At 56.5% G+C, this 26,164-nt stretch overlaps 1 protein-coding gene across 16 annotated transcripts in view, besides 4 other annotated features; it reads right to left on the bottom strand.

The window, feature by feature from the left end:
- Positions 1-26,164, bottom strand: part of GRAMD4 (GRAM domain containing 4) — a 107,013-nt gene that overhangs the window by 35,883 nt on the left and 44,966 nt on the right. For all 16 annotated transcript variants that reach the window (XM_006724169.2, XM_047441210.1, XM_011530012.2 and 13 more), the window contains 2 exons: positions 19,913-20,123; positions 8,914-9,034 (listed from right to left, as the gene is read on the bottom strand). In XM_006724169.2, coding sequence (XP_006724232.1) covers positions 8,914-9,034; positions 19,913-20,123 — 332 coding nt within the window. Of the gene's footprint in view, positions 1-8,913; positions 9,035-19,912; positions 20,124-26,164 lie in introns of those variants that run through there.
- Positions 7,688-7,982: an enhancer, noted in NCBI's record as "tiled region #10248; HepG2 Activating DNase matched - State 5:Enh, and K562 Activating non-DNase unmatched - State 23:Low". NCBI's record gives its function as "activates a minimal TATA promoter and a strong SV40 promoter by Sharpr-MPRA in HepG2 and K562 cells {active_cell/tissue: HepG2 | K562}" and the evidence as "EXISTENCE:reporter gene assay evidence [ECO:0000049][PMID:27701403]".
- Positions 15,569-16,069: an enhancer, noted in NCBI's record as "H3K4me1 hESC enhancer chr22:47026702-47027202 (GRCh37/hg19 assembly coordinates)". NCBI's record gives its function as "activates a minimal SCP1, AML or CMV promoter by ChIP-STARR-seq in primed H9 embryonic stem cells {active_cell/tissue: H9 hESC(primed)}" and the evidence as "EXISTENCE:reporter gene assay evidence [ECO:0000049][PMID:30033119]".
- Positions 18,807-19,592: an enhancer, noted in NCBI's record as "H3K27ac-H3K4me1 hESC enhancer chr22:47023179-47023964 (GRCh37/hg19 assembly coordinates)". NCBI's record gives its function as "activates a minimal SCP1, AML or CMV promoter by ChIP-STARR-seq in naive H9 embryonic stem cells {active_cell/tissue: H9 hESC(naive)}" and the evidence as "EXISTENCE:reporter gene assay evidence [ECO:0000049][PMID:30033119]".
- Positions 24,749-25,260: an enhancer, noted in NCBI's record as "H3K27ac-H3K4me1 hESC enhancer chr22:47017511-47018022 (GRCh37/hg19 assembly coordinates)". NCBI's record gives its function as "activates a minimal SCP1, AML or CMV promoter by ChIP-STARR-seq in primed H9 embryonic stem cells {active_cell/tissue: H9 hESC(primed)}" and the evidence as "EXISTENCE:reporter gene assay evidence [ECO:0000049][PMID:30033119]".

Below are 26,164 nucleotides of genomic sequence, written 5' to 3'. Positions count from 1 at the left end.
CCTTCCGCCATGATTGTGAGGCCTCCCCAGCCATGTGGAACTGTGAGTCCATTAAACCGCTTTTGTTTGTAAAGCGCCAGTCTCAGGTATGTCTTTATCAGCAGCGTGAAAACACACTAACACAGAGTTTAGCTTTTCACCACCAGAGAAACTGTAAGAGCAGAGTTTAAAAGGCCTGAGCCAAGAACCACACCCACAGGCCCAGGTCCAAAGGGGCAAGTCCAGGGACACTGAGTCAACCCCACACCTAAGCCTGTCTCCATCAGGCCTCAAAAGGACACCCCCGCCAGCAGGGAGCTGGCAGCTCCCCAGACCCTTCTGCTTCCAGAAGACTTCAATGGTAAGGAAGGTCTTCCTCACTCTGAATCACCCAGGACAGCCACCTAGAAACTTCCCTTCCGCTCCAGGACCCCTCCATTAAAACTGAGCATTCAGAGGAAGGTCTGCAGGCCTCAGGAAGCAGATGGCCAGCCCCTCCTGCCAGCTTCTTCGAGAAGATCTCCCATGGCGTAAGGGCCAGCCACTCTGATCCCTGTATGTCACAGCAGGAAAGGGAGCTTCTGGGAGCATCAGGGGCTCAGGAGGAAAAGGCAGTCTCTCTCCAAGTCACACTCTTGAGGAACCACTGCCACTGCCCGTGTGAGTGCATCTGCCGGGAATCCACCCGTGTCTGGCGCTACGAGGGTACCCATGCCCAGAGACAGGGCGTGGTAGCCTAGGGGAGCACCCTCCAGCTCAGCCAGGGAGGCATCTGCAGCCCTCTCCAGCAACACAGGAAGAAGAAAGGCAGTCACGAGGGCTCCCCTACACAGCCTAGCAACCGGGAAGCCCCCAGGAAGAGAAGCTCCCTGGCCCCGAGGGTCCTCAGAAGCACTTTCCCCCAAAATCCAAATTCTACATCACAGTGCTCTTGGGTAGAGGCTGTGTGTGCACCTTACAACCCTGGGGAATCTCACCTCCCAGAGCCTGCGCGCAGCAGGTGACTAGTGACCAACAGATGCACACGCATGCACGGCAACCGCGCTCAAAAAGCACTAGCAACCGAAATGCATTTGGGCTAAATAAAAACGCATGATGCTTTTAATTTATTTATGTGCTTCTTTAACAAATTTAGGCTCCTGCCTTCAGCCATGAGCCAAAACCCATTTCAACTTCACATTCTTCATCCTGTGTCATTTGCTTGCAGGAACATTTGTACTCTTCAGGATTTAATCATCAGAGAAGGCTGCGGCACGCTTGGGCCATTTCCTCTCCTCCATGAAGAGTAACACTCTGCTTTCTGAGAGAAAGCACTATAGATAATTGAGTGGGATTTTAACACTGACCACTTAGCTGCTTTACAGGTGGGGGAGCTGAGGCCCCAAACGGGTAAATGCTCACAGCCACCTGGTAACCAGCGCCTGAGTCAAGAATTAGAACTGGGTCCTGACTCCTGAACACAGCTCTCCATGTCAGCACGCCCTCCTGCAGGTCAGGCGAGGCAGAGATGGCCACAGTGGCACACAGACGTTGGCTTAGTGACAACCAGAATATGTCTGTGGGTCCCCAGATTACATAATGTCCTCTCTCACATTCTATATCCTTCTGGGGACTGAGATGGGAGTGAGAATGGGACAAGGCACAGGTTCTGCTGGGCGAACTCCAACTAATCTGCAATTAATCCCTCCATTCACCAAGCTCCCACTATACCCAAGACATCATGCTTGGGGTATAAAAACAAGCTCATCCCATATCCTCCAGGTGCAGACAGCCTGCGAAGAACTATCAGTAACTACTAACATCCTCTACTCCTGGAGACAGTACAACTGTCCATCAACGGAACAAGCAAGGCTAGGCACAGTGGCTCACGCCTGTAATAAACTTTGAGAGGCCGAGGCGGATGGATGGCTTGAGTCCAGGAGTTCAAGATCAGCCTGGGCAACATGGTGAAGCCCCGTCTCCACAAAAAAAAAAAAAAAAAAAAAAAAAAAAAAAAAGGCCATGTGCAGTGCAATGTGCCTATAGTCCCTGCTACTCAGGAAGCTGAGGTGGGAGGATTGCTTGAGCCTGGGAAGTTGAGGCTGCAGTGAGCCAGGATTGTGCTACTGCACTCCGGCCTCAGTGACAGAGCGAGACCCTATCTCAAAAACAAAACAAAGTAAAAAAAAAAAAAAAAAAAAAAAAAAAAAAAAAAAAACAGGGAACAAGTGGACAAGTGGATGAAGCCATGCTACAGTAACACCATGGACACAAATGTAACCCAGAACAGGGACAGGTGTAACCTGGAACAGGGACAGATGTAACCCGGGACAGGGAGAGGTGTAACACGGAACAGGGGCAGGTGTAACACAGAACAGGGACAGGTGTAACACGGAACAGGGGCAGGTGTAACACAGAACAGGGACAGGTGTAACCTGCAACGGGGACAGGTGTAACATGGAAAAGGGACAGATGTAACACGGAACAGGGGCAGGTGTAACATGGAACAGGGGCAGGTGTAACCTGGAACAGGGACAGGTGTAACCCAGAACAGGGATAGGTATAACACGGAACAGAAACAGGTGTAACACGGAACAGGGGCAGGTGTAACACGGAACAGGGACAGGTGTAACATGGAACAGGGACAGATGTAATACGGAACAGGGACAGTTGTAACACGGAACAGGGACAGGTGTAACATGGAACAGGGACAGGTGTAACATAGAACAGGGGCAAGTGTAACCTGGAACAGGGATTATCTCTGTGTACCATCTTGGAGTGACCTACAGGATATAATGTGAGTATGCAGAAAGTGTGAGCACCTTAACATTTACCTAAGCAGGAAGGTAAGAACCAATATAGATGCTCATGTTTATAAAAAATTTCAGTTGGAAGAATACAGTGTAAAATTAGAAGAAAACTGGTTATCTACAGGGGAAGAGAGGAAATGGGGGCGGGGTGCAAGGAGACAAACTCGACTTCTCTGAATATACCTTGACTTTGGAACCATGGAAACGATTTTAGATAGCTGTATGAATAAATTTAACTTAAAAAAAGAATTCTCTACATCATGCATTATGGGACAAAATGGCATCATGTACCTGCCGATGTGACACTAAGGACACGCCATCATGTCTGTGGCACCCGGACATAATCGCATGACCTGAGTCTCTTCATGAGGAAACGGGACAAACCCAAATTGAGGACAGTCTGCAAAATAACTGACCTGTGCTCTTCAAAAACGTCAATATCAGGAAACAAAGAACTACTGCTCCAGGTGAAAGGAGACGAAAGAGGCATGAAACTATCCCAACTCAGAACTGTCTTTTGCTACAAAGGACATTACTAGACAATAGTGAAGTTGGAATAAGATCTCAGACCAGATAATAATAGCATTGTATCAATGTTAATTTCCTGATTTTGATAACTGTCCTGAAGTTAGATAAGAGAATATCCTTGCCTTTAGGAAATACTACAAAAGTATTTAGCATGCAGGGGCATTGTGTCTGCAACTGACCATCAAGCAGCTCAGAAAAAAAGAATACATGGATGGATAAATAGATGGATGGATGGATGGATGGATAGATGCATGGATGGATGGATGGATGGATGGATGGATGAATGGATGGATGGATAGATGGATGGACGGATGGACGGATGGTTGGATGGATGGATAGATGGATGGATCCAGGGATGGATAAATGGATGGATAGATGGATGGATGGATGGATGGATGGATGGATGGATGGATGGATGGATGGATGGATGGATGGAAGGATGCATGGATGGATGCATGGATGGATGGATGGATGGATGGATGGATGGATGGATAAATGGATAGATGGATGGATGGGTAGGTGGGTGGATGGACGGATGGATCCAGGGATGGATGGATCCAGGGATGGATAAATGAATGGATGAATGGATGGATGGATGGATGGATGGATGGATAGATGCATGCGTGGATGGATGGATGGATGGATGAATGGATCCCTGGATGGATAAATAGATGGATGGATGGATAGATAGATAAGAGAGGCAGACAGACAAATGCGGTAAAATATTAACCTTTGGGGAATAACTGGATGAAAAATACACAAGAATTCTTTGTATTATTTTTGTGACTTTCCTGTAAGTCTGAAATCATGTCAAAATTTAAAAGAAAAAAAGCCATCTCTAGAAATCTAAGGTGAAAAGAAACAAATGCACCCAACTCTGTACTGACTTGATAACACAGCCTCAAAGGAAGAAAAAAGTCTTGCCAGTGACTGTCAAACACCATAATCTGTACCTTTCTAGTGGGACAAGCCCTAAGGACAAAAGAACAAGAAACAAATAGAGACTGCATTGAGTAATCTTGTGATATTTTATTTTGAGATTGTGTGTATTATCAAGGGATCAAACAAATGTGTAATGCCGATGATGTTCACTGAGAACCAAGATTTCAGCAAAACAAAGATACAATAAAAGTCTGATGAGGTTACACAGGCACTTAGGAGTCCTGGTGTGAATTCCAATAGAATTATCTGTATGAACTCCTCAGGCCCAAGCCCTGTCCACTGAGAAGGTCCACACACGACAGGTCACCAGCGGCCATCAATGCCCCAGGATCCCCATGGAGTGTATCAACGTCAGCTTCCACCAAAAGAAACCAGGGCTTTATTTCAGAAATGGTCAATTCCAGGACTGGGGCAGGAAATGCTGGCGATGAGCCTGGGATATCTGGTCACACCGAAAGGCAAGGAATCTCTCAGAGACAACTGGGTTGTGTCAGAAGGACTCTCAGAAGCCAACTGAAAGAGGCCCAGAGGCAGAACTATTTGAGCATTAATCAGATACGAGCCAGAATGATCAAAACACACCAAATATGTTTACATTCACTGTCTCATGAGAATACCAAAAACCCCAGGAGAGCCCAACACCCTCTCTGGTGGATGCTCTCAGAAGAGAATGCAACTCATTATTTTGAAAACTGGAAAATGAGGGGGGAATCCAACCATGCACCCTGCCCCTTGTCTATGAACTACTCCTTGGCGGAGCCAAACGGCAGACAAAGGGAAGTTTGTTTTCGGAAATGTGTCGGCTAACAAATGGAGAGAGAATAGCGGAAGTAGAAAATGACCATTCTGCAACCTCTAATGAAATGATGGCTCTGAGCAATAATCATCAAAGCTGTGACATTAAACAGAGACTGCCTCATGGAAGCACACGGCACCACCAACAGAGGGATAGTCCCCCGAGGGTCACCCAACCCCGCCACGACCAGGAAGCACAGGGTATGGACCATGTTAGGCCGCCTTCAGCACAGTCCAGAGCAGAGACTGTCCAGCAGGTGACCTGGTCTACCAAGGACAAAAAGTGTGACGCGCAGAGAACCCGCAGGGTCAAGACCGGAGAGAGACACCACCGAGCACAGCACACCAACCTCATCTGACTCTTCATTCACAGAGAGCTGCAAAGCAATCTGAGACCTCATCAGGGACATTTATTTGTTTCCTTCCTTCCTTCCTTCCTTCCTTCCTTATTTATTTATTTAGAGATGGGGCCGCACACAGTGGCTCACACCTGTAATCCTAACACTTTGGAAGGTTGACACAGGCGGATCACCTGAGGTCAACAGTTCGAGACCAGCCTGGCCAACATGGTGAAACCCCATCTCTATTAAAAATACAAAAATTACCCAGGCATGGAGGTGCGTGCCTGTAATCCCAGCTACTCAGGAGGCTGAGGCCAGAGAATCGCTTGAACCCGGCAGGCAAAGGTTACAGTGAGCCGAGATCGCACCACTGCACTCCGGCCTGGGCGACACAGTGAGACTCCATCTCTAAATAAATAAATAAACAAAATTAAGAGATGGGGTCTCGCTCTGTCATCCGGGCTGGAGTGCAGCGGCTCGATCCCTATCAGGGAAATTTGAGCTTAAGTTGGACAGCTGATGGTATTAACGAAAAGCTGTTTGCTTTTTTCAGTTGTGATATTAGACTCGTGGCTTTTGTTTTTAAAACACACTGAGCTATCCACTGAAATATTTACAGCTGAAATGAGAGGATGCTGGCTGGGATTTGCTCCAAAACCTCGGCGGGGGGCGGGGGGCCGGGGCAGGGGGTTGGGGGCAGGGAGAGGGCGTGTCGGGGAAGCCTGCCTGGTCCGGAATCTTGCTGGGAATCTTGTTGCGGCCAGTGGTGGGTTTCAACCAGGGAGGCCCATGACACTCTTTGCTCCATTTCTGGATACATTTGAAATTTTCCATAATTAAAAAATAATCCCCGTGCTCACCACCCCACAGGCTGTCAGAGGTGAACCCAACACTTTTACTTCACGAGCTACCAAGGGGTAAAAGGAGATGCTCCTTTGGCAAATGCTGAGGACAGAGTCACAAGTGCTGGTCCAGGGACGCCAGCAGCTCTGTTTGTGACCAGGTGGCCTCATTTCCTCCGGGATCTGCTCGGCCCCAGAGAGGCAGCCCTGTGGGTTCAGCTGTCTCCATTTTGCAACTTTGTTATCAACAACGTCTCAAAGCGAATCTGCCTGGACAGGCGTCCCTCCATCCCTCCACCCCACATGCCAGCTCGCCTCTTCTCCTGAAGCTTCCCGGGCCCCAGCAGAGGGTCTCTGTTGATGCTCACAGATCCTTGCCCTGCACCAAGAGCACCTGCTCCCTGAAAGTGAAACACTGACCCCCTGCCCCATGACTGAAAAACCGTCAATATTCAACCACTTCAACTCACAGAAAGGCAATTCGTGAGGTTCAGCGGATAAGGCAGCCTCTGGTGGTTGATGACTTAACTAGCGTCTGCTGAGCTATGCTCTCCAGGCCAAATAGCATACCTTCCATGCACAGGCCCAGCTGGACAGTCAACCAAGGGCCAGCCCCCTGCTGCCACCGCCCAGGGAGAGCCCAGCCTCTCCATTCTCAGAGATCCATCAATTCCAGCAGAGCCACCACTGCAGGCTGGTGAGGTCGCAGGCGGCAGGTCACCAGGACGGTCATCGGGAGGACTGAACCCTGTCGGCAGCCCATGCGGGCCAGCCCCTCTCTGCCCAAGCTGGCTCTATGCAACCTAAGGCTCATGGAGAGACCGAGTCACTCCACACCACAGCCATAGTGTGTCACCAGAGCTGTCCTCAGAACGACCAGTGTCCAGTCCTCAGGGGCCCAAGAAAGCTGTCAGAGTACAGATGGATATACACATGTGTACACACACGGTTAATACTGATGCACATGGGCATGCACACACACACACGGTAATACTGCTGCACACGGGCATGCACACGCACACACAGTTAACCACCACTGCACACGGGCATGCACACGCACACACAGGGTTAACCACCGCCACACGCACACACACAGAGTTAACTACTGCTGCACACACACACACAGGGTTAACTACCACTGCACACGCTCACACACAAACACAGGGTTAACCACTGCCGCACATGTGCACTCACAGGGTTAACTACTGCTGCACACGCAGACACACACACACACTGGATTAACTAACACTGCACACATGCGCACACACAAGGTTAACCACCACACACGTGCACGTACGTGCACACACAGGGTTAACCACCACACACGTGCACACACACACAGGGTTAACCACCGCTGCACACAGGCACACAGGCACGCACAGGGTTAACTACCACTGTCTACATACACACGGTTAACTACTACCGTGGTTAACTACTCACACACATGCATACACAGAGTTAACCACCACTGTACATACACACACACACACACACACACACACACTCACGCACACACCGTTAACCATAGCCACACAAACATGAGCACACAGAGTTCATTACGCCATCTAAGCACACACACAGTCCAGTGCTGTACATACACAGGCTCACTATCACGCTCTGGCCTGTTGCCAGGTGAATCCACAAGGCTGTGTGGACAGGCCTTGGACCCTTGAGCACCAGGTGAGCGCACAGACATGAGAGCACTGGTAACCAAGGACAGGGCACCCAGATGACAATCCTTCTGGCAAAGGCACTGGCTGTCTGGTACACAGCATGGAAAAGACCCTGGCTGGGCACGACACCCAGAAGGAAGTGACCTGTGCACCCCGGTCGTAAGCCCCTGCCTGTCACAAATGGGGGCTCCATGTGGTTCACAAGTGACTGGCTCTGGACACACAGGAGCGTAATAACAAGAATTCCACCATAGAGTCAGCTGTGAGAACCACACACAGCAGGGTTGCTGGCAGGAAATTTGGGACTCATCTGCCTGGCACTGTCTTACTGGTAAGTGGCCTCTTACTAGTCAGGCATCACTTTGTGAACCCTCTGTGCCTCAGTTTCCACATCTGGACAACAGGGAGGACACAGGTGGGGAGAGAGGCTCAAGAGCGATACACCAAGTGGGGCCAAGCCTGCGAGCCCCTCCTGTAAGAATCTCTGCCATTCTCACTGCTGCAGAGTCCGAAGCCCAGCAAACCAGGCACGCCTGGCCAAGGCCAGTGGACGCCAGAGCCTACTGCCCCACCTCCCTCCTGGAGACACAAACCAACCAGAACAAACATAAGATTTCAGAGTCCTTCCAAAAGCTCTGAAAAAGTCCGAGCCACCCACTGGGAATGCAAGGGACCAATTCACTAAAATAATTACAATTTTCTGGGAACATTTCACTCCTTTTCCCCAGAGACTCTCCTTTACCCCGCAGGGGAAAGGCCCCCACGCCCCCAGCCCCTGTGGAGCAACCTTGAGTGCCGGCTTAGCAGGGCCGCAAGGGAGGCTCAAACACAGAGACAGAGGCTGTGCCGGGACCACCCAGCCCAAAGGGCCACGTCGGAGCCACAGCTGCCCAGGGCTCGTGTCCAGCGATGGAGCCTGCGTGGGTCTTCACCAGACCCAGCTCCTGGGCAAGACGACATCCCCCATCTCAGCCACCCCTGACCCACCTTGTCCCATCCCCTCCAAGCGCTTTCTGGTACTCACGTAAGAAATGTTTTTCCAATAAGGCAATTTCCAGGTGACCTTTGATCTCATTCAGTCGATCAAACTCTGTCCGGTTAAAGTCCTGGACTCCTGTGGCCATGATGAGGGTCCCTGGACCAGCCTAGAAGAAAAACACCAAAAGCTCAAAGGGGCCACCTGTGGCACCCTGGGTCTGCACCACTCAGTTCCCCCAGAGGTGCCCAGGGGCCCCAGGATGGCAGCAGTGGCATGTGAAAGGGACCAGCAGCTGCAGTTTCTGGACATGGGGACGACGCAGCAGTCAGATGGGGCGACGGAGCCCCCAGCATAAGACCCGTGTCTGTCTACCCAGCCTCCTCTGTGGGGAGCAGGGACATCTCAGAGAATGTGGATATCCTCAGAGCCCCTGTAAGGCTGGCTTTAAGAAATATCTTAAAAATGGAGGCTGGGCACGGTGGTTCACACCTGTAATCCCAGCACTTTGGGAGGCCGAGGCAGGTGGATCGAGGTCAGGAGATCGAGACCACGGTGAAACCCTATCTCTACTAAAAAATACGAAAAATTAGCCAGGCGCAGTGGCGGGCACCTGTAGTCCCAGCTACCCAGGAGGCTGAGGCAGGAGAATGGCATGAACCCAGGAGGCGGAGCTTGCAGTGAGCCAAGATCGCGCCACTGTGCTCCAGCCTGGGCGACAGAGCGAGACTCCATCTCAAAAAAAAAAAAAAGGGAACTGGATAAGTGGCGCTAAGTCTCTTGATGGTTGTGATCCTGATCTCCTCAGGCTGCAGAGGGAAGAAAACCCTGGAACTGTGCTGGCCCCGTGTGTCCGGCTGGCCGTGCCAGAGCCAGGCCCTCACACCTCAGTGGAGGCTGCGGGCGCCTCCACGAGCCACACTGAGTAGATCGGAGAGACTGGCCCCCGGGCAGAAGGGTCTGCCGCAACCGAGGTGAGCAAACTCCGAACAGCGGCCTTGTCGTCCTCTCTGCTCCATGAAAACCGCGGCTCACAGCCCCAGTGAGCCACAGCAAACTCCAAACAGGGGCCTCGTCATCCTGTCTGCTCCACAAAAACCCCAGCTCACAGCCCCAGCAAGCCAGGACGGGCTCGAGTTACAGGCTACAGCTGCCCGATGCCTGGAGCCCAGGGACTGGGCACAGGCGGCCGTTCCACACCCTGCTGATGGGACAGAAAGCAGGGGCCATGCCCGGCACAGCCAGGCCTGCCTGGGCCCCACACTGGATGCCACACAGTCGCCCTCCACGTTGCATCCTGCCAGGGACCTGGTGAGGGACAGCACACGAGTGAGTGTCCCACCACAGGACAGCAGCGACCCGATTTCTCCAGCTGGGTCCTCAGACTTCCTCCTCCAGAGCCAGGTAACAGGTGTGCGGCTTCAACAAGGCCACCCGGAGCAGCACCGCAACGGCTCCTTGCACATGTATCACCCACGCTGTGGCCACAGCCCAGGAATAAGGCGCTGGCTTCGGGAACCAGCAGCTTCTAGGCAGGGCACTCTGGCTGTGGCTGCCCCGTTCTGGGTGCCCGACCTCCCACACTTTCAGCTGCTCTCGCTGCTGGGGCAAGAGTTCCCAGGGCATGAGTGGAGGCAGGGTGATTCCATCTGTCCCGCCCGCTGGACGGACCCTGTGGGAGCTGCTTGGGGTCTGTCCCAGCACTGACAGATGAGGAACAGGCATGGGACGCCTGTTCTGGGAGGCCAGCGGAGCCCAGGTGCTGGAAGCTGGGATCCCACAAGCACCCATCCAGGAGGACAGAAGCTCCAAAAGAGTCTCAAGGAGGTCACACAACCCCACCTGTGCTCCAGCTTACGCTGGAGACATGGGTCTGGGGCTCCAAGCTGACCCTGGAAGCTCAAGACGCAGGTGCCGCCAGACTAGGACCCCAGCTGGGGCCCCAGGACAGACCCCGGGGGCTAAACGTCCCCATGAAGGTGGCTCTGACATAGACAGCCTGGAAAAGGTTCACCTGAGTGGGCAAGGGCCTGGGCGCTCCCACACGCAGCCAGGAGGAGGCACACTGCAAAGCCTGCAGCTGGACCCCTGCACTGCCCTGGGCTGTTTCTCTCCAGTCCTCTTCTTTCAGATATGGACCCTGGCGTGTTTCAGACAGAATGAGAACGTGCCTGGGACCTGCTCCAGAGTCATCCAGTGGCCGGGGGGGTGGGGGGCAGGGAGGACACGGCCACCTAGGACAGGAGTGGCCAGGGGCGGGGGGCAGGGAGGACACGGGCCCCCAGGACAGGAGTGGTCAGGGGTGGGGAGCAGGGAGGACACAGCTCCCCTGGACAGGGGTGGCTGGGAGTGGGGGCAGGGAGGACACGGTCCCCCAGGACAGGAGTGGCCGGGGGCGGGGCAGGGAAGACACGGCCTCCCAGGACAGGAGTGGCCGGGGGCGGGGGCAGGGAGGACACGGCCTCCCAGGACAGGAGTGGCCGGGGGCGGGGGCAGGGAGGATAGGGCCTCCCAGGACAGGAGTGGCCAGGGGTGGGGGCAGGGAGGACACGGCCTCCCAGGACAGGAGTGGCCGGGGGCGGGGGCAGGGAAGACACGGTCCCCCAGGACAGGAGTGGCCGGGGGCGGGGGCAGGGATGACACGGTCTCCCAGGACAGGAGTGGCCAGGGGTGGGGGCAGGGAGGACACGGTCCCCCAGGACAGGAGTGGCCGGGGGCGGGGGCAGGGAGGACACGGTCCCCCAGGACAGGAGTGGCCAGGGGTGGGGGCAGGGAGGACACGGTCCCCCAGGACAGGAGTGGCCGGGGGCGGGGGCAGGGAGGACACGGTTCCCCAGGACAGGAGTGGCCAGGGGTGGAGGCAGGGAGGACACGGTTCCCCAGGACAGGAGTGGCTGGGGGCGGGGGCAGGGAGGACACGGCTCCCCAAGACAGGAGTGGCCAGGGGTGGTACCAACCACAAAGGGACGAAGGACACTTGGGCTCCCAGCCCGCTGCTCTCTAGTTCAAAAGCGTGCTGGACATTTTGAATGTTTTCTATTATGATTTCTTTTTTTTTTTTTTGAGATGGTGAAGTCTCACTCTGTCGCCCAGGCTGGAGTGCAATGACATGATCTCGGATCACTGCAACCTCTACCTCCCAGGTTCAAGCGATTCTCCTGCCTCAGCCTCCAAAGTAGCTGGAATTACAGGTGCCTGCCACCATACCTGGCTAATTTTTTTGTATTTTTAGTACAGACGGGGTTTCACCATGTTGCCCAGGCTGGTCTTGAACTCCTAGCCTCAGGTGATCCACCCGCCTTGGCCTCCCAAAGTGCTGGGATTTCAGGCATGAGTCACCGTGCCCAGCCTATTATGAATATTTTTAAAGATCTCAAACACAGAAACTGTGGCCACGCACTACCTGCTTGCTCCGACCCACTTGCCCCCAAGTGCCTTGGGCAGTTCCAGGACCCCTGACTGTGGACCAAGGACCAGGCTGGCACCTGGCTCCTGCCTTTGCTCCTTCTCCCGCCATTCGCCCACCCTTGCTCCTGCACAGCTGGGCACGCCCTCTGCCCCTTCGCTGAGTCTGCCTTGGGCTGGTGTTTGGAGATGCACACCTATCTCTTCTTCTCCTCTGTCTCCCCTTCCTTAGGTTTCTTATCTATGTAGCTTCCAGAAGTTTCTCTCCATTTTCCTTGCATTTGAGTCAAACCTAGCCACCCTGCCCACAGCGGTTGCAAGGCAAGGTCAGAGACAGGAATGTGCCTGTCTGGAGGAGGAAGTCATAATCATTAAGCTGAAATGAGACCCAGCAGCCAGGCACCTCTGCAGCCTCGCTCCCCACCGAGGGAACCTGCCACACTCCCCCAGCCCTCGGCAGGGCCCACCTTCAAGAGGCATTTTCCAAATACTTCACTTACTCTGTTTACAATGGCTCCTTGAAGGTACAGAGGGCAGGTGTGTGCCTGGGGCCAGTGGGCCTGTTCACCCCCAACTGTCTGCTGAGAGCACAGGCACCCGGGGGTGAGACAGGCCTGAGGGTGGCCCAGGAGTAACGTGGTCCACGTAGGATGATGGAGGCCTGGCCTGGGAGACCTCAGTGCTTATCATGAATTTTCTAACCGGGAAGGCGGCCTAAACAACAATCAAGGATCCCAAGTCCCAGCCCCACACTGAGGACAGAAAACACCCCCTGTACGGCCGGGACCCCCGGAGCCCACCCAGCCCACCTCCTGCCTACACCCCATGGACACCCTGCTCGGAACTAGGGGTTGCCTTTCCCACAATGGATTCTTCCTGGGATTGTCTCAAGTGATGCTGGAGAGAGAGGACCCCATTCTTCTTGGTGACAAGGCAGGCTGGGGTCCCCAGGAAGCCAGTGGCCTTGGCCTCCTCCAGCTGGGGACTCCCGTTGGCAGCAGCAGCAAGGACGCCAACCCACGGAGAAAGCAGGGCCGGCCAGAGCCCCCAGTTGCTGGGCTCCCGGGCCAGGAGCAGCCTTCATCAGGAGCCCCTGAAACAGCCCCACACAGCCAGCCCTTCCCTGGGACAGACATGAGCAAAGGCTACCTGGAAGTCAGGGACAAAGAGAGGACGGGCATCCATGCCACCTCATCCAAGTCCCCACCTTCATTAGGTGGGGGGCTCCCCAGGGAGGGCAGGAGAGGGAGCCACACTTTAAACAGCTCTATTCCCACAGGAAACGTCCCAGTGCCCCAACTCAGAACAGTACCCACCTGTGACAAGGACAGACAATGCTGGCACTGGGGTCAGGGGAGGAAGGCCCACGGGCGGGCAGAGGGATGGAACCAGGGCAGCTGGGGGCCCCCTGGCTTCCGAGGAGCCTGGGCTGTGGCATACTTTCGGGGAGGCCTGGGGAAAACAGTTGGACCGTGCCACCCTGTTCCAGCACGTCAGCCTGGGCAGGGCTGCTTCCTGGAGGCTGAGTTGGAGAAGAGCTTGGAGGCTCCCATCTGCCTCTGCCCACTCAGCCCTACAAATAAGTATGCTCTTCCCTCCACATCCCCATCCCCACCGGGCGGGGGGCTGTGTGGGTCCCCATAACAGACATGTGGCAAGGGGCCAGAGGCCTGCGTGGAAAGGCTCTGCCCAGTGCAGAGGCGGAAAATTCAACTCCGCCACGCCCAGCACCCTCCCCAGCAAGCACAGGCAGCGTCGTGCGGGTGACCCGGCTCCATCCACATGTGCCAACCCTGTCTCCAATGGCTGCTCCAGGCCCACGAGGGCTGGGCCCCACGGTCTCCACCCAGTCCTGGGATTCCACAGCCCAGATGAGAGCCACCTGGATACCAGGGTGGTGAGGGCTGGCTCTGCAGGACTCACCAATGAACAAGGGGTCTCCTATTGGGACACAAGGCCCTGGGGTGCTGCCCTGAAATGCTGGGGTCTGAATCCTTCTGCAAGCCCTGTGGGTCCCTCCAGCTGACCCCTTCTCAGACCTACAGAGGAGCCACCCTGAGCTGGAGTCAGAGGCCTGGACTCAGAACTCCAAGGGTGCAGGACACCAAGGCTGTGGCGCTGTCACTATAAAACTAGAGTGGTAGGCCTGGCCATTTCTCAGTTCTTCAGCTTTTCTAGAACTATTTTCTCCAACTTTTGCCTCAACTGAAATCTGCAGCCCTCTCAAGATGGGGCGTGGGTCTTCTGGGGACGTCTCCCATCTCCTGCCTCCTGGTCGGGGGTCACCCCAGACGCTGCCCCAGCCCTAAGCATGCCCACCTCCTTCTTGCCACCTCTCCTTCCAGCCAGCACCAGCCACACAGTTACCTGTCTCTTCCACCTTTACCTCCCCTTCCCAGCCCAGCCTCGTGGGCCCCTCAAGCCCACCCAGGGCCCCTCCAACCTTCCCCTCCCAAGCAGGTCTGGGTTCTACTCTCAGCCACTTTGTCCCAGGACACAAACAGCCCACAACGAAAGGAAGCAGGAATGAAGCGGAGCACACCTGGAGGACATGGTGCTTGGTGACAGCGGCCAGAGATGAAAAGACACACGCCGTAAGGGTCTACCCATCCCCGGTCCCCAGGAGACGAAAGGACACAGGCCGTGAGGTTCTACCCATCCCCGGTCCCCAGGAGACGAAAGGACACAGGCCGTGAGGTTCTACCCATCCCCGGTCCCCAGGAGACGAAAGGACACAGGCCGTGAGGTTCTACCCATCCCCGGTCCCCAGGAGACGAAAGGACACAGGCCGTGAGGTTCTACCCATCCCCGGTCCCCAGGAGACGAAAGGACACAGGCCGTGAGGTTCTACCCATCCCCGGTCCCCAGGAGACGAAAGGACACAGGCCGTGAGGTTCTACCCATCCCCGGTCCCCAGGAGACGAAAGGACACAGGCCGTGAGGTTCTACCCATCCCCGGTCCCCAGGAGACGAAAGGACACAGGCCGTGAGGTTCTACCCATCCCCGGTCCCCAGGAGACGAAAGGACACAGGCCGTGAGGTTCTACCCATCCCCGGTCCCCAGGAGACGAAAGGACACAGGCCGTGAGGTTCTACCCATCCCCGGTCCCCAGGAGACGAAAGGACACAGGCCGTGAGGTTCTACCCATCCCCGGTCCCCAGGAGACGAAAGGACACAGGCTGTGAGGTTCTACCCATCCCCGGTCCCCAGGAGTCACATTCAGAGACAGGAGGCGGAATGCAGGCTGCCGGGGTGTGGCAGGGAGGAATTCCCACCAGGGAGCTGGCGTGTGACACGTGCTGGGCCTCAGTCTGGGATGACGAAAGGTTCTGGAGGTGGAGGTGGAGGTGGAGGTGGCGATGGTGGCACAACAGAGGGCATGTGCTCCGTGCCCCTGAACTGCACACTGACAGTGAAAATGAAAATGGTACATTCAATGCTCTGTGTATTTTACCACAACAAATAAAAAGAATGAAGCCTACATGTGTGCAAAGATGACCAACTTCCTGCACAATAAAAGCCGTGCAACCTACAGCCACTCGGCACTGCCGTCTTGCCCCTCGGGGCGGTGGAGAGAGAAGCCTGAGAACAGCGTGGAGGCCGGGGTGGGGGCACATGGCCCTCGAGGGAGCTATGGAGGGCACACTGCAGAGGCCGGGGTGAGGGCACACGGCCCTCGAGGGAGCTATGGAGGGCACACTGCGGAGGCCGGGGTGAGGGCACACGGCCCTCGGGGGGCTATGGAGGGCACACCGCACAGCTGCCAGGACCACCACACAGGCACACTCGGTCCAGCACTTCCACCAAAAGTGCCGCAGCCCACATGGGCACCAGGCTGCCAGGAGTGATGGACGCTAAGAGCCACAAGCACCTGCGATCCCTCAGTGGGGACAGATTAGCTGAAGTGACGAACATCCCAGGGTGAGATCCTGAGCCGCTGCCAGGAGTGAGGCTGCTTGGGGTCCGCCACGGAAGAGCTCCTGGAGCACTGAGAGGGGCGGTCAGAACACCCCAGGCTGCAAGGTGGGCTCCGGTCTGAACCTGCCCCTCCAGGGAAACCCTCAGACCCTACCGGTGGGCACGGAGCATGGCGCGGCTGCACATGAGAATGCGGTAGATCCTGGAAAAGGGCAATCTCGGGCCTCTGCATGGCCCAGCGAGACCATGTGGAAGCACATGCACACAAACACTCAATCGCAGGCATTCAGCCTCATTCATCACAGTCCAAGAATGGAACTGCCCAAGCGCCCACAACAGATCAATGAATAAAGACAACAGGTCGGGCGCGGTGGCTCACGTCTGTAATCCCAGCACTCTGGGAGGCTGAGGCGGGTGGATTGCCTGAGCTCAGGAGTTCGAGAACAGCCTGGGCAACACGGCGAAACCCCGTCTCTAATAAAAATACAAAATATTAGCCGGGCGTGGTGGTGTGTGCCTGTAATCCCAGCTACTTAGGAGGCTGAGGCACGAGAATCGCTTGAACCTGGGAGGTGGAGGTTGCAGTGAGCCGAGATCACACCACTGCACTCCAGCCTGGGTGACAGAGTGAGACTCTGTCTCAAAAAAAAAAAGAATAAGAAAAAGAAAATGTGGCCTGGCCATATGATGAAACAGGTTCAGCCATAAAAAGGCAGGCGGCACCAATGCACACCGCAGCATGGATGAACCTCGCGTCCCTTATGCGAGCAAAGGACAGACACACGAGGCCTCATGTTATATGAGATGCCCCATATGGGCAAATCCATCGACAGAAAGCAGGCTGGCAGCTGGTGGGGCCGGTGGCCAAGGGAAATGGGAGTGACTGTGAAAGGAACGGGGTCTCTTTCAGGTGATAAAAACCTTTTAAAACTGTAGTAATGGTAGCACAGCATTGTAAATATGCTATTAATAGAAACCCCTGAGTCGCACACTTTTAGTGGGTGAACTGTATACTGTATACCCGGTGGGAATATCTCGATTAAGCTGTTATAAAACCAACCCCCAAGGCCTCTGTGCCTGAGCCCAGGTCTCAGGATGTTTCTGGGAGGCTGCCCGTGTAAAGAAGGGTGATGAGAGGGGACCTCGGAAGGAGCAGGGCAACGCTGCACAGCCCCCCACCCCGGGGGCCTCGTGAGCCTGGGCCGGAGCAGTGTCAACGTGCTACAGGAACGAGGCTTCGCAAAGGAGCCCTGGAACCAGGAGGAGGGTTTAGCGAATCAGTATTTCACGGTCATTAATAATTACAACTCCCTCCAAGCTAACCATAAGCAAGACGCCAGCCACGTACGTTTCACTTATTATCTCATTTGATCCTTAAAGCAGGCCTGGGGGTGGACGAGACTGCCGTCCCCCTTAAAAGCTGAGGATACTGAGGCTCAGGTCCAGGTTACACAGCTAAGGAACTCAGCCTGGTCTCTGCAGTCAGTGCCTGACCTGCATTCAGCACGATGCCCCAAGCGGGGCCCTGCTCACCCACACTAGGAATCTCCTGGGTTTCCAGACGTCCGAGTCCCTGAGGTGGTTTCCCCCCGCAGCCCCTCACAGCCTCGAGGAAGGGGGGCCCCAGTCCACAGGCTGACCTTGCCCTGGCCTCTGCAGCATTTGCCCCTACTCGGTGGGCTCCCTCTCAACTCAACATGCCCCCTCAAGCCCCCTTGTACCTCGTGGACCACCACCTGCCCACCAGAGCTGGTCCAGACCACGGCCTGCCTCTCCTGTGACGCCAGCAACACCGCTAGCGCCATACCCTCTGCCACCCCCAGGAGCCACATTCTCCAAGCTACTCCCCAGACATCACCCTGGAGCGGCCAGCTCTGACACTGACCCTCCCCCGAAGGGGATCCCTGATGCCCCCCAAATCCAGATGTTCTGCCCCAGGTGAAGACTCCCATGATCCCACAGCCCTACCTCCTGCTGCTCCAACCAGACCAATACCTGCAACCCTGGCCCTGGCCCCCTCACTGCAGCCCTCCACCTGCCCCTCAGACACCAACGCACACACTCAGTCCACCCGCCCCTCAGACACCACGCACACACTCAGTCCACCTGCCCCTCAGACACCACGCACACACTCAGTCCACCTGCCCCTCAGACACCACGCACACACTCAGTCCACCCGCCCCTCAGACACCAACGCACTCAGTCCACCCGCCCCTCAGACACCAACGCACACACTCAGTCCACCCGCCCCTCAGACACCACGCACACACTCAGTCCGTCTCTGACCAGCATGGGCAGGACACGAACCTGCCTGAGTCCATGCTTGGCCCGGCCACAGAGGACAGGGACGAAACCCCAGCCCACACCAGGGGACAAGGACAGGTACTCACAGGGTCCCTCAGGCGGGAGGGTCCCTACCGAGACAACACCTGGAGCAGGACAGACGGATGGCGGAGAGGGAGCTGGGGAAACAGCCCCGCTCTGGCCTTTGCGTGGAATCCCCGTCACCCCTCCCTGTTGAACCATGTATGTGTCGGGAGGGAGATTTTTGTTCCCGAGACACCCACCACATGCTCAGCACACAGACCACCATCGGAGAATCGTGACCCATGCCCTCTGTGCCAGCCCCAGCCAGAGGCGGATGAGACACAGCTCTCCGGCGAAGGCAGGCCCCTGCCGTTCTGCCACATAACCTGCACAAGGGCAGACACCCTACCGGGGTCCCGGTCCACCCCCAGGACCAACCACAACCTTTGCCTGGGGATGGCCGATCCCGGCAGGCCGGGCACTCTGTGGTCTGTAGTGATGCCCCAGGAAGCCAAGCGGCCCCACCTGCCTGATCGGGCAGTGTCGAGAGAGCAGCAGCAGCAGTAAATTATTAATTCCTGCTGAAAGCAACGCACAGTCACTGTCCTGTTATAAAGCATTAGCAACGCAAGGAGCCAGGGAAGGCCGGCGCTCCCAGGCCACACCTGGAAAGAAGACCTGGCTCAGGGGCTGGAGGAGGAAACCAGCCAGACACCAAATTTGGTGTGTGCATGCGGGGAGGAGCTAGAGGCCATGCTGGGCCAGAGGAGGGGCCGCAGGGAGCCCAACCCACCATGCTTCGGGCCCTGCCCCACCCCCCACCAAATGCAAGTTTCTGCAAGGCAGGGCCTGCTCCTGCCTGGCTCCCGCCTGGCTCCCCACCTGGCTCCCACCCAGGGCCCAGGGCCTAGCTGAGGTGCTCCGTGGGTATTTGCTGTCCCCCCAGCTGGCCACAAGCCCAGCCCTGATTCCGCGTGGCTGATGAGGGCCCAGCCTGGGCTTAGCCAGCTTTGGGGGCTGGAAACGTGCACCTTGGCTTGAATAGAAGACAAGCCAGGCACCAGCGGCTTCCAGACAACGCCCGCCCTGCTCCATCCGCATGTCAACGCTCCCAGGGCCAGGCCGAGGCTTCCGCGTCACATGTGCGTGAGAAGTCTGCCACCCACCCAGAAAAGCCAGTGAGGAAAACCAATCCAGCCGCTAATCAGACCTGCGAACACAGAAGGCTCGGCGTGGCAGCACCCCGGCCCCACAAGGTCTGCAGGGGTCGGGAGCAGGTGAGACAGAGAGTCAGGCCCAGTCCATCTCTGACCAGCATGGGCAGGACACGAATCTGCCTGAGTCCACGCTTGGCCCGGCCACAGAGGACGGGGACGACACCCCAGCCCACACCGGGGGACGAGGACAGGTACTCACAGGGTCCCTCAGCTCCTCGCTGTCCCGGGGCGAGGTCCGCGGTACCTTCAGGGGGATTTCGTCGCTGCATTCGGTGTCCGAGGCATTTGGAGACTCCGCTAGATCGAGGAAGTCATCTCTCTTGTGACCTCTGAACCTGATTTTGTCCAACCTCCTTAGCATGTTCAGCACTGAGGTCCTCTGCTTCACCCTAACATGACGCTCGGGTTCCCTGCAAGAGAGGGGCGTGGTCACTCTCCCGCTCGCCACCTCCAAGCCCCACGAGCCAGCTCCCACACACAGGGCACAGCCGGTCCAGCTTTCCAAAGAAAACCCCGACCCAGAGACCCCGCCCTGCCACCGTCCCTCCCACACACACCTCCAAGCCCCACGAGCCAGCTCCCACACGCAGGGCACGGCCGGTCCAGCTTTCCAAAGAAAACCCCGACCCAGAGACCCCCGCCCTGCACCCATCAGGTGGGGCCCTTGGCCACCCCACCCAGGCCAGCCTGGTCAGTGCTGAGCTGCGTCCTTGCCTCCCACCAAGCGAGGCCCCCGGCTCCCAGCAGGCAGAAGGAAGCCAGGGTTCTCAGCCTGGCTCGGCGAGGCGGCGCGCAGGCGCAAGGGAAGAATGCTGCTCTGGCATTGGGAAGGAGGGCCAGCCATGCCAAAAGGTTGCCTAACAAACCGTCAAGAACGTGGTCAACACGACGGCCACATACACCACCAGGACGGCAGCCACGCCTGGAAACCAGCAGATGCGTGTGCTAGGGATGCCTCGGTTGATTCTCTCCTGGACCTAGGGGACCTGGCCTTGTGTCCCACCTGCTCCACCTGGCCCCGGCTCCCAGGACTCCGCCCACACTGCTCCCTCTGCCTAAAGCGTGTTCCTACTCGCCATGCGACCAGGCTCATACTCTGAGACACATTCAGATCGCACCACCTCCCAGAAGCCCTCCCAGAGACAGCGGGGTCAGGCACCCATGGCCAGCTGGGCCTCCTGTCCCAGCCCCCATGCCTGCCTCCTCCTCCAATCAACACAGAAACCTGGTCACACTGAGGTGCGAGTCACTGTGTGCTGCATCAGGACACGCGTAATTCACACACACCACGTGCCAAAGGGCGGATGTGCCGTGGGGTACTGCTCCCCACATCGCTGCCCGACCTGGCCAGCAACACCAAGGCACCCCCAAAAGCCTGGAGGCCAGGATCAGTGGCCCACAGGAGGGGCCAGCCAGGCAGGGAGAGGCCACCCAGCCCCAGCCCCATCACGCAGCTCCATGGCCTGGATGCCTCTCCCAAAACCCCGTCCCCAACTTGTCCAAGACAACTGGGTCCCCGTGGGAGGACTGCTCTGTACACACCTGGGCTGAAAGCCTGTCCTGCCACTGACCAGCTTTCTGAGCTGACATTTTTGCCTCTGAAAATGGAAAGATGCCAGTAAGGCAAAGGTATCCAGGAATTCAAGAAGACAGGGCAACTGGGCCAGGAGCAAGGAGATGGGGCGGGGAGTGATCCCTGGCGGGGGTATTTCCCAAACTTCCTGCTTGGGGCGGGCAGCATGGCAAGGAAGCACTGAGAGCAAGGTCAGCTCCAGCTCCTACATGCCTGCCCCGCCCCCAAAGCCTCCTCCGCTCTCCTCAGCATCACAGTTCGTGGCAAGAAGACTCATTAACAGTGAGGACCGAAGACACAGAACGCACTAGAACCCACTCTGAGCCACAGAGGCGCGGAGGTTCCCAGCATGGTGAGGGGAGGGGAGGCTCTCCTGGGATGGGCACTTGAGTATTCCTGATGCCGGCCCTGCTGCAAAACCCACAGGACGCTGGGCGCGGTGGCTCACGCCTGTAATTCCAGCACTTTGGGAGGCCGAGGCGGGCGGATCACAAGGTCAGGAGATTGAGACCATCTTGGCTGACACGGTGAAACCCCATCTCTACTAAAAATACAAAAAATTAGCCGGGCGTGGTGGTGGGCGCCTGTAGTCCCAGCTACTCAGGAGGCTGAGGCAGGAGAATGGCATGAACCCAGGAGGCGGAGCTTGAAGTGAGCTGAGATCCCGCCACTGCACTCCAGCCTGGGTGACAGAGCGAGACTCTGTCTCAAAAAAAAAAAAAAAAAAAATCCCACAGGACACAGGCTCTACGGGGAGCTGTCCTGATGCCCAGCATCCCCTGGAAGCTGGGAGGACCCCAGGAGGGGGATGTGGGTGATGGGGAGGTAGCAACTGCTGCTCATAGGCTGAGGGAGCATGAGCCAGCCATTTGGAAAAGCTTCCCATATAGGAGCTACAAATTGCAGAGGGACTAAAGGTTCAGTCAATTTAAAAACACACAAACCTTAAAAGAAAAGAGAACAGCTGGGAGCAGTGGTTCACGCCTGTAATCCCAGCACTTTGGGAGGCCAAGGTAGGCGGATCACGAGGGCAGGAGTTCGAGACCATCTGGCCAACATGGTGAAACCCTGTCTCTACTAAAAATACAAAAATTAGCTGGGTGTGGTGGCGGGCACCTGTAGTCCCAGCTACTCAGGAGACGGAGGCAGAGGAATTGCTTGAACCCGGGAGGCGGAGCTTGCAGTGAGCCAAGATCACACTATTGCACTCCAGCCTGGGCAGTGAGACTCCGTCTCAGAAAAAAAAAAAAAAAAAAAAAAAAAGGAAGAGGGAACTTAGTAGCTATGAAATCCCTAGAGAGAAGAAGATGGAAGAGTCTATATTAAGGGACTGAAAAAAAAAAAGCCACTAAGTAAAAATGTCTAACAGGCCACCAGGCAAAAGTAAAAAGCTCTCATTTGTAAAAAGAAAGTAAAAAATGTCAAAATACGCTATAAAACAAGGAATACAGGTAACAAATATGATACATGAAGGATTAATATCCATGTTACAAGACAACTTGACTAGGCCAGGTGCGGTGGCTGGCACCTGTAATCCCAGCATTTTGTGAGGCCGAGGTGAGTGGATCACTTGAGGTCAGGAGTCTGAGACCAGCCTGGTCAACATGGCGAACCTCCATCTCTGCTTAAAATACAAAAATTAGCTGGGCGAGGTGATGTGCGCCTACAATCCCAGCTACTTGGAAGAGTGAGGCAGGAGAATTGCTTGAACCCGGGAGGTGGAGGTTGCAGTGAGCCGAGATCACGCCACTGCACTCCAGCCTGGGCAACAGAGCAAGACTCTGTTTAAAAAAAAAAAAAAAAGGCAGCTTGACAATGTAGTCAATGTAGCAAAAATGACAAGACCACTTCCTAATACGCGAAAACCTTCAAGCTCACTAGAAAGGAAACTAGGCCGGGCATGGTGGCTCATGCCTGTAATCTCAGCACTTTGGGAGGCCGGGGCGGGCGGATCACGAGGTCAGGACATCGAGACCATCCTGGCTAACACGGTGAAACTGCATCTCTACTAAAAATACAAAAAAGTCAGCCAGGCAAGGTGGCGGGCACCTGTAGTCCAAGCGTCCCAGCTACTCAGGAGGCTGAGGCAGGAGAATGGCATGAACCCGGGAGGCGGAGCTTGCAATGAGCCGAGACTGCACCACTGCACTGCAGCCTGGGGGGCAGCGTGAGACTCTGTGTCAAAAAAAATAAAATAAAATAAAGAAAGGAAACTAAAGCTAACCCGGGCTGCGGAATGCGGCAGAGCAAGCACACAGACGCCCCCTCAACCGGCCACCCCACAACTCAGTACCAGGACCCTAGGACCAAGCTCAAGAAGTGGAGGCCTGGTGGGGGGAAACACGTCACACACCATCCATCAAGACCAGCAGGGCAGGGGGTCCTGGAGCACCCTGGTGGACCCACACAGGACCCCGTCCTTGTAAAGGGATGAAGGCAACTAAAACCGGGACCTTCCTGTGACTGTCGTTATGGCAAACAGGTGCGTGAAGAGACTCGGGCGCTATGGGGCCAGACGTCGGGAGTATGGGCTTACGGTGGTCGTTAACAATTCTCTCTCCAAATCTCCTAAAATGCCTCCCTATTACTTCTTTTCCCACAATATTTTTTAATTACGGTAAAACACACATAATATAAATATTACCAATTTCATCAGTTTTTTTTTTTTTTTTTTTAGAGATGGAGTCTTGCTCTGTCGCCCAGGCTGGAGTGCAGTGGCGTGATCTCGGCTCACTGCAAGATCCGCCTCCTGGGTTCACGCCATTCTCCTGCCTCAGCCTCCCGAGTAGCTGGGACTACAGGCACCCGCCACCACACCAGCTAATTTTTTGTATTTTTAGTAGAGACGGAGTTTCGCCATGTTAGCCAGGATGGTCTCAATCTCCTGACCTCGTGATCCACCCGCCTCGGCCTCCCAAAGTGCTGGGATTACAGGCGTGAGCCGCCGTGCTCAGCCCAACTTCACCAGTTTTTAGCGTGCAGCTCCGTGGCATAAATTACATCTGTGATGCTGAGCGGCTGCCTCCGGACTCGTCTTGTCTAACTGAAACTCTGCTCACTGAATAGGAACTCCCATGCCCTCCCCAAGCCCCCGGTAACCACCATTTTTACTGCTTTTTAATGTTTAAAAAGGAAGGATGAACGGGCTAGGGGAAGTGTAGCAATGTAAAACCTACTTCCTTCCATTTTCAAAAACCCGGCGAGTCCTCCTGGTTGCGGCAGCTGAGAGGGAAGCGGAGGGGATGACCCGGGCGCTGGGGCCTGCAGGCCCTGTGTAGGGCACCGAGCTGGCCTCCACCCAAGGAAAGCAGGGGACACGCTTGGACACGCACAGAACTCTTGGCTGCCTGCAGGGCTCTGGGCAGAGGACAGCCCCCTTGTCTGGGAGGCTGTAATTCCGAGGCCAGGGCTGCCTTCCCAATCACCTCAGGCAAGCAAATGAGGCAATGAGAGAGGGGACAAAGGCCCTGAGTGTCCCGCCTGTCACCATCAGAATGCAATGCGTGCCCCGCCAGTGTCCAGCTACTCCTCAGTCTGCTCTCCCAGCCACCGGCTCAGCCCCAAACCCAGGGTCATCCTGCTGGATGGTTCACAGCGGCCCTTGGGGAGGGCGTCCACACATCAGGGTCCTAGACGACCCTGCTCTCAGCCCCACTGACTCCACCACCCTCCTCACCCAACTCCCTGGGTCCATCAAAAAGACAGACTTTTCAAGCTTCGGTCAGTTAAGAATCAAACTCCATGTCACGACACATGTCACCACACACTGCCAGGGATGGACCTTCCAGCCTTCACCACCAGGGATGGGCCCGGGCTACACTTCCAGCCTGCGCCTGCACCGGGGTAGGGGTGCCCTCCGCGACACAGCGCCAGGGACGGGCCCGGGCTACGCCTCCAGCCTGTGCCTGCACCGGGGTAGGGGTGCCCTCCGCGACACACTGCCAGGGATGGGCCCGGGCTACGCCTCCAGCCTGCGCCTGCACCGGGGTAGGGGTGCCCTCCGCGACACACCGCCAGGGATGGGCCCGGGCTACGCCTCCAGCCTGCGCCTGCACCGGGGTAGGGGTGCCCTCCGCGACACACCGCCAGGGATGGGCCCGGGCTACGCCTCCAGCCTGCGCCTGCACCGGGGTAGGGGTGCCCTCCACGGCCACATGGGCAGCCCCCGCACTGCACTGAAGAGTGCTCCACTGTACACCAGGGTGACTTCATCTCAGTGACATCTGCAAAGAGCCATTTCCAAGTAAGGTCGGGTCCACAGGTACGAGGTGGACATGAATTTTGGGGGAGGACACTATTACCCAGCACACGCCCAACTTACAGATGCAGGAACCAAGGCCCGTCTACACACTGAGCATAGCTCCAGGCTGCACCTCAGGCCAGACCCGGGTCTCCCGACACCGCCCACCTGCGTCTCACCTGCACCTTCCGTCCTGCGTGCTGCAGCCGCGCATCCCCAACCAGACGGCCCCTGCCCTCCCCACTTCTAGCTGCCCATCCCCACCCCCTCCACGGTCCCTGGAGGAAGCCCAGCTCCTCAGCCTGCAGCCCAGCCGCTCTCCCCAGGACCAGCCCCTCCACCTGCACCTACAGGCCCACCCCTGGCAGCCCAGGGCCCCTGCAACTCCGAGCCATGCGGCCCTCTCAGATCGGCCTCCTCCCTCTCGGATGGGCCTCCCTCCCTCTCAGATCGGCCTCCCTTCCTCTCGTCCTGTCAGGTTCTGAGGGGCTTCCTGGGAGGCTCCTCCTCTTGCCGGCCCTCCTGACCAGGCCAGGTTCTCAGGAGGCCTCCACCCTTCCTCACTGGACCCCTGGCCCCGGGCTGCGCAGGTGCTTTACCGGTGGGGTCTGGCCTGCACCCGGCCTTGGGAGGGAGCC

Source organism: Homo sapiens, chromosome 22, assembly GCF_000001405.40.
Source record: "Homo sapiens chromosome 22, GRCh38.p14 Primary Assembly".
Lineage (NCBI taxonomy): Eukaryota > Metazoa > Chordata > Mammalia > Primates > Hominidae > Homo > Homo sapiens.
Note: the sequence above shows the minus strand (reverse complement) of the source record. Positions and strands in the feature narration are given on the sequence as shown.